Genomic DNA, 14,299 nt, shown 5'->3' with positions numbered 1-14,299 from the left:
CTGAGACAACCAGAGAAAATGGACAATCTCTTTCTACACTGTTTTCATAAGCTCTACAACAGCAGGGATCTTTGTTTTGTTCACTCATCATTCGCAGGGGCTGGACCTGTACCTGGCTCATAGTAGGTGGTTAATAAACGTGTTTCTGAATGAGTACATTCTGCACTAAAGACCATTAACTGTCTTTCTAGAAAGGTTACTTGCTCATATAGCACTGTAGGAAGCAGTTACAGTGTTATAATTTCTTTTTTATTTTATTTTATTTATTTTTTTTTAATTGATCATTCTTGGGTGTTTCTCGCAGAGGGGGAGTTGGCAGGGTCATAGGACAATAGTGGAGGGAAGGTCAGCAGATAAACAAGTGAACAAAGGTCTCTGGTTTTCCTAGGCAGAGGACCCTGCAGCCTTCCGCAGTGTTTGTGTCCCTGGGTACTTGAGATTAGGGAGTGGTGATGATTCTTAACGAGCATGCTGCCTTCAAGCATCTGTTTAACAAAGCACATCTTGCACCGCCCTTAATCCATTTAACCCTGAGTGGACACAGCACATGTTTCAGAGAGCACAGGGTTGGGGGTAAGGTCACCGATCAACAGGATCCCAAGGCAGAAGAATTTTTCTTGGTACAGAACAAAATGAAAAGTCTCCCATGTCTACTTCTTTCTACACAGACACGGCAACCATCCGATTTCCCAATCTTTTCCCCACCTTTCCCCCCTTTCTATTCCACAAAACCGCCATTGTCGTCCCGGCCCGTTCTCAATGAGCTGTTGGGTACACCTCCCAGACGGGGTGGTGGCCGGGCAGAGGGGCTCCTCACATCCCAGTAGGGACGGCCGGGCAGAGGCGCCCCTCACCTCCCGGACGGGGCGGCTGGCCGGGCGGGGGGCTGACCCCCCCACCTCCCTCCCGGACTGGGCGGCTGGCCGGGCAGAGGGGCTCCTCACTTCCCAGTAGGAGCGGCCGGGCAGAGGCGCCCCTCACCTCCCGGACTGGGCGGCTGGCCGGGCAGAGGGGCTCCTCACTTCCCAGTAGGGGCGGCCGGGCAGAGGTGCCCCTCACCTCCCGGACGGGGTGGCTGGCCGGGCGGGGGGCTGACCCCCCGACCTCCCTCCTGGACGGGGCGGCTGGCCTGGCGGGGGCTGACCCCCACCTCCCTCCCGGACGGGGTGGCTGCCGGGCGGAGACGCTCCTCACTTCCCAGACGGGGTGGCTGCCGGGCGTAGGGGCTCCTCACTTCTCAGACGGGGCGGCTGCCGGGCGGAGGGGCTCGTCACTTCTCAGACGGGGCGGTTGCCAGGCGGAGGGTCTCCTCACTTCTCAGATGGGGCGGCCAGGCAGAGACGCTCCTCACCTCCCAGACGGGGTCGCGGCTGGGCGCTCTCACATCCCAGACGGGGCGGCGGGGCAGAGGCGCTCCCCACATCTCAGGCGATGGGCGGCCGGGCAGAGACGCTCCTTACTTCCTAGATGGGATGACGGCCGGGAAGAGGCGCTCCTCACTTCCTAGATGGGATGGCGGCCGGGCAGAGACGCTCCTCACTTCCTAGACGGGATGGCGGCCAGGAAGAGGCGCTCCTCACTTTCCAGACTGGGCAGCCAGGCAGAGGGGCTCCTCACGTCCCAGACGATGGGCGGCCAGGCAGAGACGCTCCTCACTTCCCAGACGGGGTGGCGGCCGGGCAGAGGCTGCAATCTCGGCACTTTGGGAGGCCAAGGCAGGCGGCTGGGAGGTGGAGGTTGTAGCGAGCCGAGATCACGCCACTGCACTCCAGCCTGGGCACCATTGAGCACTGAGTGAACCAGACTCCGTCTGCAATCCCAGCACCTCGGGAGGCCGAGGCTGGCGGATCACTCGCGGTTAGGAGCTGGAGACCAGCCCGGCCAACACAGCGAAACCCCGTCTCCACCAAAAAAGTAAGAAAACCAGTCAGGTGTGGCGGCGCGCGCCTGTAATCGCAGGCACTCGGCAGGCTGAGGCAGGAGAATCAGGCAGGGAGGTTGCAGTGAGCCGAGATGGCAGCAGTACAGTCCAGCTTCGGCTCGGCATCAGAGGGAGACCGTGGAAAGAGAGGGAGAGGGAGACCGTGGGCCGTGGGGAGAGGGAGAGGGAGAGGGAGAGGGCACAGTGTTATAATTTCTATAACAACCTTTACAGCAAATGAATTCTGACTTATATTGACATAGATTATTTCAAGGTTTTCGTGTATTTATTGGATACATTATTTTAAAATGGCAGAAATTTATCTGTTCATTTTACTAATGTATAATTAAGATTTTTAAAAAGTCAGCAATGAATACAAAGACCTTTGTTTTTAGCAAACCCTTACTTCATATTCAGAAAATGAAAATGAAAAATACTTAATGGAGAAAGCATTTGGAAAAGATTGTATTCTTCAGTACATTACTAAAATATTATGATTCTAATCATATGTTATATGTAACTTTTAAAAAGCATTTAATTTATCAGTCTATATTAGAAAGGCTTGGGGAACTATAAATCCATTTTTTCATAACTTTAAGGGTGAATTTTCAGCTGCAGTGTGTGGTGCTGAGCAGCGCTAAGCAGGGCAACATATTCCCCATAGATATTTGACTCTCAGAGGAACCAAAGGGGTCATCTTCATTAACTCTACTCTCCTCCTCCTTCCACTTCCACATAGTCCACTTTATAGAGGAGAAAGCTGAAATCCAGAGACCCTAGATGAATGGCTTAGAACAAATGTGTGGCTGTTATGGTCTTGTGCTTGGTTGTTTCATATTTTCTAGTTGCTTGTTAACTTCATTATTGCCACAATGAGGTTTAAAAAAGAAAGCAGTGGTGGAAACAGATAATCACATTACTAGAAATTTGGACTATATTATTATACTGAAGACAAATATTGATGCATTTTGACGTTACTTTAAATAAATTACCTTAGTTTGTTGAAATATAGTTTTATAAGAAATAAATTTTCCTGTCTTGACTTCTGTGATGTAATTGTTTTTTTCCTGAGTTAAAATTTTAGTGACTAAAATATGTACTAAATTTTATTTCAAAATTGAACTTCTTGTAAAATGGTACTTTATGCCATTTTTGTTATTCCTTAAGACGACTTGGCTTTTCCTTTTATGTTTGAGATAGATGTAGATTATGTCATAATTTTCCCAAATCTATTTTACTAACTGTATTAGTCTGCTTGGGCTGCCATAAGAAAATACCATAGACTGCATGGCTTAAATAATAGAATTCATTTTCTCAAAGTTCTGGAGGTAGGAAAGTCTTAAGATCAGGGTCTCGCAGTGTGCAGTTTCTGGTGTGGCCTCTCTTGCTGGCCTTCTCTCCATGTCTTGACATGGCCTTCTCTCTGTGCACAAGCTGAAAGCATCTGTAAGCTGAATAATTCTAGTTTCCAACCTCCCGATGTTAGAATTTGTTTAAAAATTTGAGAGACTGTACTACTCTATCCCATTCTGTCTTCTCCCTACGCTACTCTTCAAGTCAGGCACGTATGAGATGTTTAGTCTTCTTTCCCCAGATTACAGGCGTTGTTCAGCTGGGCACAGCAAGAGTGTTAAAAGTTCCTTAAAGTTCTTAAGTTTGCTCTGCTGCACGTTTTCTTTAGGAATCTCAGATTGGATTTTTTAAAGCCTCTTGTTACTAGTGATCTTAAGGCTAGGAAGCTATGCCAATAACTCTATATCAGATTTCACCTGTTTTATTTATAAGAATTCCTCATTTCTTGAGGTCCCTAAAATATCCTAAGACTCATGGGCCTCCCAGGAAGTGGCTTTTCTTACTCACCTGCAAGGCTGGGAACTCTGTAAGCCAGTTTTTCCAAAGAAGGCTTTGTAAGGATGACTCTGTAAAGGCAGTCTTAGTTCCTTAGTTCCAGAACACTTAAAAGTGTTTAGTCATATTTGATTGAATGAGCATCATTTTCAAATGTGAGTTTAGTTGCAAAACCAATATTTCCACTTATGTCCTAGTAAAAAAGAGGACAGATTCTTATTTAATCTATGCAAATAACTTTATTGCCCTGAAAATAGAATATTTATTACGTTTCTGAACTTTGGAGGGCTCAAGCAGGGAGAATAAGATGTTTACAAGTGTTTCATTTCAGTATACAAAAGCAGAGTCTACTAAGTTATGAGTTATAGATAGCTTTAAGAAGAAAGAGAAAAGGCTTCCTTATATGTCTGGAAAATACATTCAAACAGCATCAACAATATTCCAGACAAAAACTACAGTCATCCCTCATTAGCTCATTCAGCCATATCTAGTTAATTTTTGTTCCACTGGATGTGGGGTTAGTAGTATTATCAACCCATCGGCTTCCTCATAAGAGTCCTGGAAATTCTGACTTAGGCCACTGGTATGGTCTGAAAGTTGTTTAAGCAATGTCATTTAGAAGCCTGTGCCCCAAAGTACCTGGCATAGCCCTTTTCCATGGGGTTCTGATTCCTTCTGGCCTGTAGCTGATTGAAAAGGCTCTGAGGGAAACATCAGAATAAAACAGCAACAAATAGATGTCTGCAGATAAAAACATTTAAAATGGCTGCAGTTAATTTTTTACTGATCATTTTCAAAAAATGAAGGATCTGATGAGAGTTTGAGAAAAATATAACTGACAAGGAAATCTGGTTTCTGTGACATGCAAAACAAGATAATAAAGTCAATAAAAAAATTTTAAACAATTTAAAATGTAATAATGAACTCTATAGTTAAAGGATGTAATATTATATCTGATTTATAAAAGCAGATGAGCATAAACTTTACAGAGAAATGAATCTTGAAATATAGCAATAATCCTAGATATTATGTACCAATAATGTATCCAGAATATCAAGTGAAAAGATCTAGTAAGTCTGGAGTGGGTCCTAAGCTTCTGTATATTAATGAAACTCCATCTCCATAGTAAATTATGTGAATCCTTAATTGAAAACCACTGGCCCAGAAGATGCTGCATTCACATTTGAAAAGTGAAGTTGTAACCAAGTTAACATTTTAAAACATAAGAGTGATAACAGCTATACAGTGCAGAGTATCAGGACTTTGATAAATAGAAACTAATCATGACAGTGAGAGCATTGACAAATCTCTTCTGATTTGCTAATTCCTCCCATGCAGTTTCATCAATAGTAACAAACACAATTGTTTCCAGTACTTTTTTTTTTTTTTTTTTTTACTGTGAAAGAATAAATTTTTGTCCTCTTTCATGGGCCCTCTTATAAATCTCAGAGACAGTTTTAGTCCCAAAAGTATCTCAAATTTTTTATTTTATTTTACATTTAGGATTTGAATTTGTAAAGACATAAATGAAAAGTTACCAGGAGATTTCAACACTTAGGAATCAGATCATAGGTGCCTGAGAAATACTTTCCTACTCATTTCAAAGTGACATCCAAACATTTGAAAATAAAGTGAAGGTTACATGATTGTAAAGCATTTGGCTCTTTCATAAGTGAGAAATATTTAATCAAGGACATTGTACAATCAACATGAAAAGCACAGAAAACTATTTTGGTAAAACAGAATCTTTGTTATTTATACAGCAGATATCTTACAATCTCTTACTAAGGGCAGATCAATAATCCAAGAAAATTTTCTAATTTCAACAGAGAAAACCAAACTCCAGTATTGTATCAGTGTAATATTTGATACTACAGGAACTACAAGCACTTTTATAAAATCTTTTTTTTTTTTTTTCAAAACTGAGCTAACTTTGGCCAAGGCAAGTAAAATTATCTTTTCTCAAATCTTCTACAACTTTCTATATCAATTTTTGTCCTTTACAGCTGATGTAGTTTGGATATTTGTCCCCTCCAAATTTCATATTGAAATGTTATCCCCAATGTTGGATGTAGGGTCTTCTGAGAGGGGTTTGGGTCATAGAGGCGGATCCCTCATGAATGGCTTAATGCCCTCCTCTGGGTAATGCATAAATTCTCACTTAGTTCCTCTGAGATCATATTAAGAAGAGCCTGACACCTCCCTCCTTGCTCTCTTGACCTGTCGTCCTTCCTCTCACCTTGTAATCTCTGTTCTCCTTCTCCCTGTATCATGAATGGGAAGCTTCTTGAGTGTCTCTCTGGAAGCAGATCCTGGCACCATGCTTCTTGTATAGTCTGCAGAACCATGAGCCAAATAATCCTCTTTTCTTTATAAATTACCCAGCCTCAGGTATTCCTTTATAGTAATGCGAACAGACTGAGACAACCCTCTTTCTCGTTCTGGAACAACCAGCCCTTTTATTTTAGGACAAAACTATTTTTTTTTCCTTAATAAACAAAACCCATCCTACTACCTCACACGTAGTGTTGTACCTGCCTGCCACCATTGTTCTAGTAGTCTCATTCACATGTTATTGATAACTTTTAGCCAAAGTAACTTTTATTACACAGAGAAAACTAGGGAGTGGATAATTGTGAGCTGTTGCATGCCACTGTTTTAGCAAACTAGCAGAGCTAACATCCAGAGCTAACACAACTTTAACTGTGTGTACACTTTCATTGTGTACAAGTCTCAAGAGTGGCAAAAATGAACACATTTAACTGATTAAAAGAGCCAAAGACATAGCCTCTTTGTAGCATATAAAAATAAGAAACAAGTATATTTGTCAGGCCTCTGAGCCCAAGCCTGCATGTATACATCCAGATCGCCTGAAGCAACTGAAGAATCACAAAAGAAGTGAAAATTTTCCACTACCTACCCAAATCCTATAAAACTGCCCCACCCCAACTCCCCTTGCTGACTCTATTTTCAGACTCAGCCCATCTGCACCCAGGTGATTAAAAAGCTTTCTTGCTCACACAAAGCCTGTTTGGTGGTCTCTTCACATGGACGTGCGTGACAATATTAAATTTATGCTTAGTTATAAATGTCTCAATATTCAGTCTTACTTAGAAATGAGATCAGTATTGAGTGCATATTCATTAGTTAATTCAAATTGATACCAGTTCGAGTTTTTAAGTTTCCTAAAGATCTTGGAAATTTGTCTTCAAGCTGATATATTGCAAGACATAATTACTGTTGAAATACAAGGTCATCAGAATAATGATTTTGTTTGGTTGAACACAAATTTACCTTTTCCATAATCTTAGACATTAAGTAGAAGTAACGCTAGTTTATTCAATCAGTAAACCTGTATAGGTTTATGAATGACGTACCCAAATAGAATAAAAGTCTATGCTTATACTTAATATTGATAAATCAGTAAAGATACAACTGTTTCTTTTAAACCATAAATATTAAACTGGTCCCATTTCCAAAGATTTGCTTTTTTTATGTGAACTTGATTTCTTAATACAGCTCAATAATTGGTTTCTTGAAAGTGTTAGATCTTCAACCTCCTTATTTTCTGGGAAATTTAGGAATATTCTGTTTATATATGTACTTATTTACCTCTATGAGTAAATCAGAATATATTACTTTAAGAGATTTCATAATGTAGTAGATTTTATAATCTAATTTGTTAATCCCATTCTGAGGTAGAAAATTATTGCACCTTCACACATTGAAAGACAACAGCCTTTCTGAATTACACATAGACACGCAGATGCGGAAAGAGTTTATGACTTCAATTCTGAAATTTCAACTATGGGGCCATGGCAAATACAGAATTATAAAACTCATCAGTCCGTGTCAAAGAGTTGCTCTCTTCCCAGTGAGCATGAATTCTTAATTGATTCGTGGTGAGAACAGACAAATAGACAAACAGAAAAAAACTAACAAACCAGACTATTTATAGTTGCTCACCCATTAAACCATTCACAAAGATTAGAGATTTTTATAAAATGGCCAGACCATAAAACCGAATCCCCATTGGGAAATAATTTGTTGGAGGTCCCAAATTTCACAGCCATGTGGTTTGAATAGGATAGAATCACCTGTAGCTCCAGATGGCTCTAATTGGCCTAAAGCAATTAATGTTATCTTGTTCTTCAACCAGTCACTGTGGGAAAAAGTAGGGGTAGAATGTTGCTGGGAAACAGAAGTTTTCTGGCTTAAACAGTAACTAGATCACATCTGGCATTAATTACAAGCCTGTGGTATTGATTAAAAACAAATAAATGGATAGCAACTTAACTGTAACAGAATTTGGCGATAGCAACTGGGTAGTTGCAAGTAACAGACCCTAATATGTGAAATTGGCTTAATAGATACAAGTGAAGTCAGGCAGTCTCTTGCCACAGGGATTGTTTTAGGATAGTGTCTACCCCTAGGACTGGGAGTGGGGACCCAATCCTACTGAAAGTCAATGCTGAGAAGTTTAGGGCTCTTCAGGGGAAGGTAAAGGAGAGAATAGTGTTGGAAACTCTGATTTGTGATAGGGACAAACTGAGCCATGGAGGGAGCCATCAAGGCGGGTCTTGATCCTGTGCTGTGAAGTAGGCAATCCTTCTTTCTTATTCAGGAGTAGCTGGATTAATAATATGTCTTGTTTTTTGAACAGTGAGATCTTGATTAAAGGCAAGAAGGCATAAGTGCTTAATTGTATATATAATTAACAGCTCGAAATGAGCAATAAAATGAAATTTATGTCTCTTATAAAAGTAGAAATGCAGAATGTAGGGCCACCTTTGTAGAATGTCGGAATTGTTAATGATCTCTGGCCACTCAGTATAAGCCCCTACTCAGGAGGAAGAGGGACGCAGTAAGGGAAATACTAGTGCTAAAAGTGACAGTATTTTCAGCAAATTGGCATATTTTTCTTTTAAACATGCCAGATACGCGAACATGAATCTTGACATCCTTAGCTCTGATTATAGTCATTAGTATCCTCTTTAAATTTAGGAAACACCATCTAGAAAGAAAATTGGCTATATTTATTCACCATGTTTACAGTATAAGAATGAAATTCATACTGTATGGTGTTTTGTTGTTAGATTCTGAGTGAGTGTCCATTCACTTAAATTTCCAATATCCAGTGCTAGCTTTGTGCTAATGGCTTGTAATTAGATAGCTGGTGTCCTGTATTGATTAGCTTATACAGAAAAAACACTGGAGAAAAAACAAGGTGTATAGCACAGTGTTTTATACATCATAGGTTATTTTTTGGATCTTAGTTTTTTTCGAGACGGAGTTTCGCTCTTGTTTCCCACGCTGGAGTGCAATGGCGCGATCTCGGCTCACCGCAACCTCCGCCTCCCAGGTTCAAGCGATTCTCCTGTCTCAGCCTCCCAAGTAGCTTGGATTACAGGCATGTGCCACCTTGCCCACTAATTTTGTATTTTTAGTAGAGACGGGGTTTCTACATGTTGGTCAGGCTGGTCTTGAACTCCCAGCCTCAGGTGATCTGCCCGTCTCGGCCTCCCAAAGTGCTGGCATTATAGGCGTGAGCCACTGTGCCAGGCCAGACCTTAGTATATTTTAAAAGTTGAGATACAGCTTTCATACCATTAAATCACCCTTTTAAAGTGCCCAATTAGTAGATTTTTAGTGTATTCATAAGGTTGTACAGCTGCCACCACTGTGCCAGTCCAGAACATTTTCATCACCCGAAAATGAAACCCTCTACCCATTAGCAGTCACTCCCCATTCTCCCATCCCCACAATCCTTGGTAACTGCGAATTTACTTTTTGTCTTTGTGGATTTGCCTATTTTTGACATTTTATATAGATGGAATCATATAATATATGATCTTTTGCTACTGGCTTCTTTTACATACATAGCATAATGTTTTCAGGGTTCATATTGTAGTATGTGTCAGTATTTATATCCTTTTAATGACTGAATAATATTCCATTGTATGGATAATACCACATTTTGTCTCTCCATTTATGTGTTGATGGACATTTGAGTTGTTTCTACCTTTTGGAAATTTTTATTTGTGTTTGCTTGGTATATATTTTCCCATTCCTTTATTTTACACTACCTGTATCAATGAAACGAGTTTCCTATAGATAGCATATAATTGGTTGTTTTTTATTTATTTTTAGTTTTTATTTTATTTATTTATTTATTTATTTATTTATTTATTTGAGACGGAGTCTCGTTCTGTCGCCAGGCTGGAATGCAGTGGCACGATATCTCGGCTCACTGCAACCTCTGCCTCCCGGGCTCAAGCAATTCTCCTGCCTCAGCATCCTGAGTAGCTGGGATTACAGGCATACGTCACCATGCCTAGCTAATTTTTGTATTTTTAGTAGAGACGGGGTTTTACCGTGTTGGCCAGGATGGTCTTGATCCCTTGACCTCGTGATCTGCCCGCCTCAGCCTCCTGAAGTGCTGGGATTACAGGTGTGAGCCACCGTGCCCGGCCATAATTGGTTGTTTTTTTAAAAAGTCAGTTCTCCACATTTGTGTCCTGTAATTGCAGTGTTTATGTACACTTAATTGTTGCTATATTTATCTATTTGGAGTTTGACTATCTCTTTGCTTTTTAAAAAATGAGTTACAAAATACATACTTCTCAGAGTCTATTTAGAATCAGTATTTTGCTACTTCAATTGTAGTGTAGAAACTTCGCTAAAATATAGAAAATATATCACAACTTTCACTTTCCCCCTTTCTGTTACAGTTATCTTACATTCTACATTGCATACCTTCAGAGCCCCTCATAGAATGTATTATTATTATTATTATTTGCTTTCAGCCGTCAAATGTAAAGAATCAAGAGAAAAAGAATAGTCAATTGTTTTTGTCTGAATGCTTAGCCTTTCTGTTGCTCTTTCTTTATTGCTGATATACACATTGTTTTCTGGTATCATTTTCCTTCCATGTGATGAATTTCTTTTAAGCAGTTCTGTTGGTTGCTAATCTTGTTGTTACTCTTTGTCTGTGACTGTTTTTATTTCCCTTCATTCCTGAAATATATTTTCACCACATACTTAGTTTTAGGTAAACAGGTCTCTTTTGTCAATATTTGAAAAATGATGTTACTTCTGACTACTGGCCTTGAGGGTTTCCTGATGAGCAAGACACAGTCATTTGAATCATTGTTCCTCTATAAGTAATGCATCCTTTTTTTCTCTCTGCTTTCCAGATTTCTTCTTGTCTTCATTAATTTGACTATGGTATGCCTGGGCATAGGTTTCTTGTAGTTCATTCAGTTTTTTGAATGCATAGGTTTATGTCCTTCTCCAAACTTGGGAAAATTTTAACAAATTTCTTCAAATATTTGCCAGCACCGTACTTTCTCGTTTACTGTTTGGAATAATTTGTAGCCATTTGGGATTGGCTTTTTAAATTAAGTGTAATTCTCTGGAGATTTCTTCCAGGTTTGTGTTTATCAATAGTTTGTTCCTTTTTACTAGTGGAGTAGTTTTCCATGTTATGCACGGACCACAGTTTTCTAACCGTTTACCTGTTGAAGGACATTTGTTTGAACAAAGCTGCTATAGACACCTATAGGTTTTTATGTGAACATGTGTTTTCATTTCTCCAAGGTAAATCTTCAGGAGAGCAATAGCTATTTCATGTTTAATTTTTAAAGAAACTTCCAAAGTTTTTTCCAGGATAACTGTCATTTTATTTTCCTGCAAGCAATATATAAGTGATCTAGTTTCTTTATATCCTCAACATTTGGTGATGTCATTATTTAAAAAAAAATTTTTAGCCATTCTGATAGGTGTGTAGTAATATCTCATTGTGATTTTACTTTCATTTATCTAATGGCCAGTGATGTTGAACATCTTCTCATGTGCTTATTTGCCATCTGAGTATCCTATTCATTAAGATGTCCCTTCACATGTTTTGCCTATTTTCTAATTGGATTTTTAAAAATGTTCAGGTCTAAGAATTCTTTCTGTATTCTAAATACTAGTCCTTAATTGGATATTCATTTGCAAATATTTTCCCCCAGGCTATAGCTTTTATCTTCAGCCTTTTAGCGGGGTCTTTCATGGAGCAAACGTTTCTGATTTTGATGAAGTTTAATTGATCAGTTTCTTAAATGGATCCTGCTTTGGGTGTGTAGTATAGGAACTCTTTGCCCAACCTTAAATCCTGAAGATTTTCTCCTATTTTTTAAAATGTTTTATGGTTTTAGATTATACATGAAGTCCATGAACTATTTTGAGTTAATTTTTGTATAAGTTTGAGACTCAAGTCAAAGTTCATTGCTTTGTTCCAGCATCATTTGTTGAAAATTCTCTTTCCTCTATTGAATTGCTTTCTTAAAAATCAGTTGGGCATATTGTATGGGTTGATTTCTGGATTCTCTGTCTTGTTCCATTGATGGTTATGTCTGGTTCTTCACTAGTACCACACAGTAGTGATTACTCTGGCTGTATATTAGTTCTTGAAATTGGATGGATGGATTTCTCCCAGTTTTTTTATTCTTTTAGGATTCTTTAGGATTGTTTTAAGTATTCTAGTTCCTTTGCCTATCCATATAAATCTTAGAATAACCTGTCTATATCTAAAAAAAAAACTTGCTAGAATTTTGATAGGAATTATGTTTAAGCTGTTTATCAATTTGGGGAAGAGTTGTCAGCTTACATTATATTGAATTTTTCATTCCAGGAACAGTATGTATTTTTATATGTTGAGATCATTTTTGATCAATTTTTTTTGCAGCATCAGCAATCAGATTCATGTTTTACTTGATGTGCACCTAAATACTTCAGTTTTTTTAGAGTGGCTCTATAATAGTAATTGTGAGTTCTTTTGTTCATTGCTATATGTGTGTTATATATATGTATATATATATATAGCAATGCAGTTAATTTTTGTATGTCTATTTTGTATCCTCTGACTTTGCTGGACTCCTTCGAGGACTTTGTTGTTGCTATTGTTAATACCTTAGGATTTTCTACATAAGCATTCATGTCATGTGCAGATAGAGATTTTTATGTCTTTCATTCTGATATATATGCCTTTTATTTTGTTTATTTTCCTAATTGTGGTGGCTAGAACTTTTGGCACTATGATGCATCAGAATAGTAGAAAACATTCAAGAAACTGGGAATAGAGGGAAACTACCTCAACATAATAAAGGCCATATATGAAAAGTCTGCAGCTGACATTATAGTCATTGGCGAAAGTCTGAAAATTTTTCCTCTAAGATCAGGAGCAAGATAAGGTTGCCTGGTTTTGCCACTGCTGTACAACACATTACTGGAAATCCTAGCTGAGCAATTAGGCAAGAAAAAGAGGTAAAAAGCATCAAAATTGGAAAGGAGTAAAATTATCTCTTTACATATGACAAAATTTTTTATATAGAAAACCCTAAAGTTTCCATGCAAAACAAACAAAAAATCAGACTAAATGAATTCAGCAAAGTTTCAAGTTATAAAATCAACACACACACACAAATCAGCTGTGTTTCTATATACTAATAATGAACAATCTAAAAAGGATATTGAGAAAACAGTCCTATTTACAATGGCATCAAAAATGCATAAAATAGGAATAAACTTAACCAAAGTGGTAAAGACTTATACACAGAAAACTACTATATATTGATGAAAGAAATTAAAGAAGACATAAAATAAATGGGAAGACATCCTGTGTTTATTGGAAAACTTAATATTGTTAAGATGACAGTACTGCCCAAATCAATCTGTATATTCGGTATAATCCTTCTCAAAATCTCAGTGACTTTTGTTTTACAGAAATAGATAAATCTGTCCTGTAATTTATATGGAATCACAAGGGATCCTGAATAGCCAGAACAATTTGAACAAAAAGAACAAAGTGATGGTGTGATGCTCCCTGACTTCAAAACTTATTACAAAGCTACAGTAAACAAGTTAGTGTGGTACTGGCATAAGATAGACATAGAAACCAATGGAATAGAATAGAGAGTCCCAGAAATAAAGCCTCACATATTTGGCCAAATGATTTCCCACAATGGCGCCGAGACTAGTCAGTGAGGAAAGGACAGTCTTTTCAACAAATGATATTGGTGGGGGTGGCAGGGGTCTGGATATTAAGAGGCAAAAGAATACAATTGGACCCTTACTTTACACCATGTAGAAAGATTAGCTCAAAATGGATCTAAGACTTAAAACTATAAAATTCTTAAAAGAAAACCTAGGGAAAGAAGCTTCTTGACTTTGGATTTGGCAAAAATTTTTTGGATATGACACCAAAAGCAAAGGCAACAGAAGTAAAAATACAGAAATTAGATTACATCAAAATTTAAAACTTCTGGGCATCAAAGGAAACAGTGGACAGGGTGGAAAGGCCACTTAGGGAATGGGAGATATTTACAAATCATATATCTGATAAAGGGATAATATCTAGAATATATAAAGAACTCCTACATCTCAACAGCAACAAATAATCTGATTCTAAAATGCTTGAATAGACACTTTTCCAAAGAGGATATACAAATGGCTAGTAGGCATATGAAAAGATGGTCAACATCATTG

General features: G+C 38.6%; 1 protein-coding gene and 1 long non-coding RNA gene across 17 annotated transcripts in view, besides 1 other annotated feature; one reads left to right on the top strand and one right to left on the bottom strand.

The window, feature by feature from the left end:
- Positions 1 to 14,299, top strand: part of MARCHF8 (membrane associated ring-CH-type finger 8) — a 140,323-nt gene that overhangs the window by 81,410 nt on the left and 44,614 nt on the right. The gene's annotated exons all lie outside the window — the stretch shown is intronic.
- LOC105378286 (uncharacterized) overlaps positions 1,933 to 14,299 on the bottom strand; it is a 47,291-nt gene continuing 34,924 nt past the window's right edge. Inside the window, exons 2-3 of one of the 2 annotated variants that reach the window (XR_945919.1) lie at positions 3,782 to 3,962; positions 1,933 to 1,971 (exon numbers count right to left, since the gene is read on the bottom strand). This is a non-coding gene — a long non-coding RNA (uncharacterized LOC105378286). Of the gene's footprint in view, positions 1,972 to 1,996; positions 2,034 to 3,781; positions 3,963 to 14,299 lie in introns of those variants that run through there. The other variant, XR_945920.1, reaches the window with a different exon arrangement.
- Positions 9,623 to 10,123: an enhancer, noted in NCBI's record as "H3K4me1 hESC enhancer chr10:45998823-45999323 (GRCh37/hg19 assembly coordinates)". NCBI's record gives its function as "activates a minimal SCP1, AML or CMV promoter by ChIP-STARR-seq in primed H9 embryonic stem cells {active_cell/tissue: H9 hESC(primed)}" and the evidence as "EXISTENCE:reporter gene assay evidence [ECO:0000049][PMID:30033119]".

This window comes from Homo sapiens, chromosome 10 (genome assembly GCF_000001405.40).
Source record: "Homo sapiens chromosome 10, GRCh38.p14 Primary Assembly".
Lineage (NCBI taxonomy): Eukaryota > Metazoa > Chordata > Mammalia > Primates > Hominidae > Homo > Homo sapiens.
The sequence above is the reverse complement of the archived record's forward strand: the minus strand, read 5'-3'. Positions and strand labels throughout refer to the sequence as shown.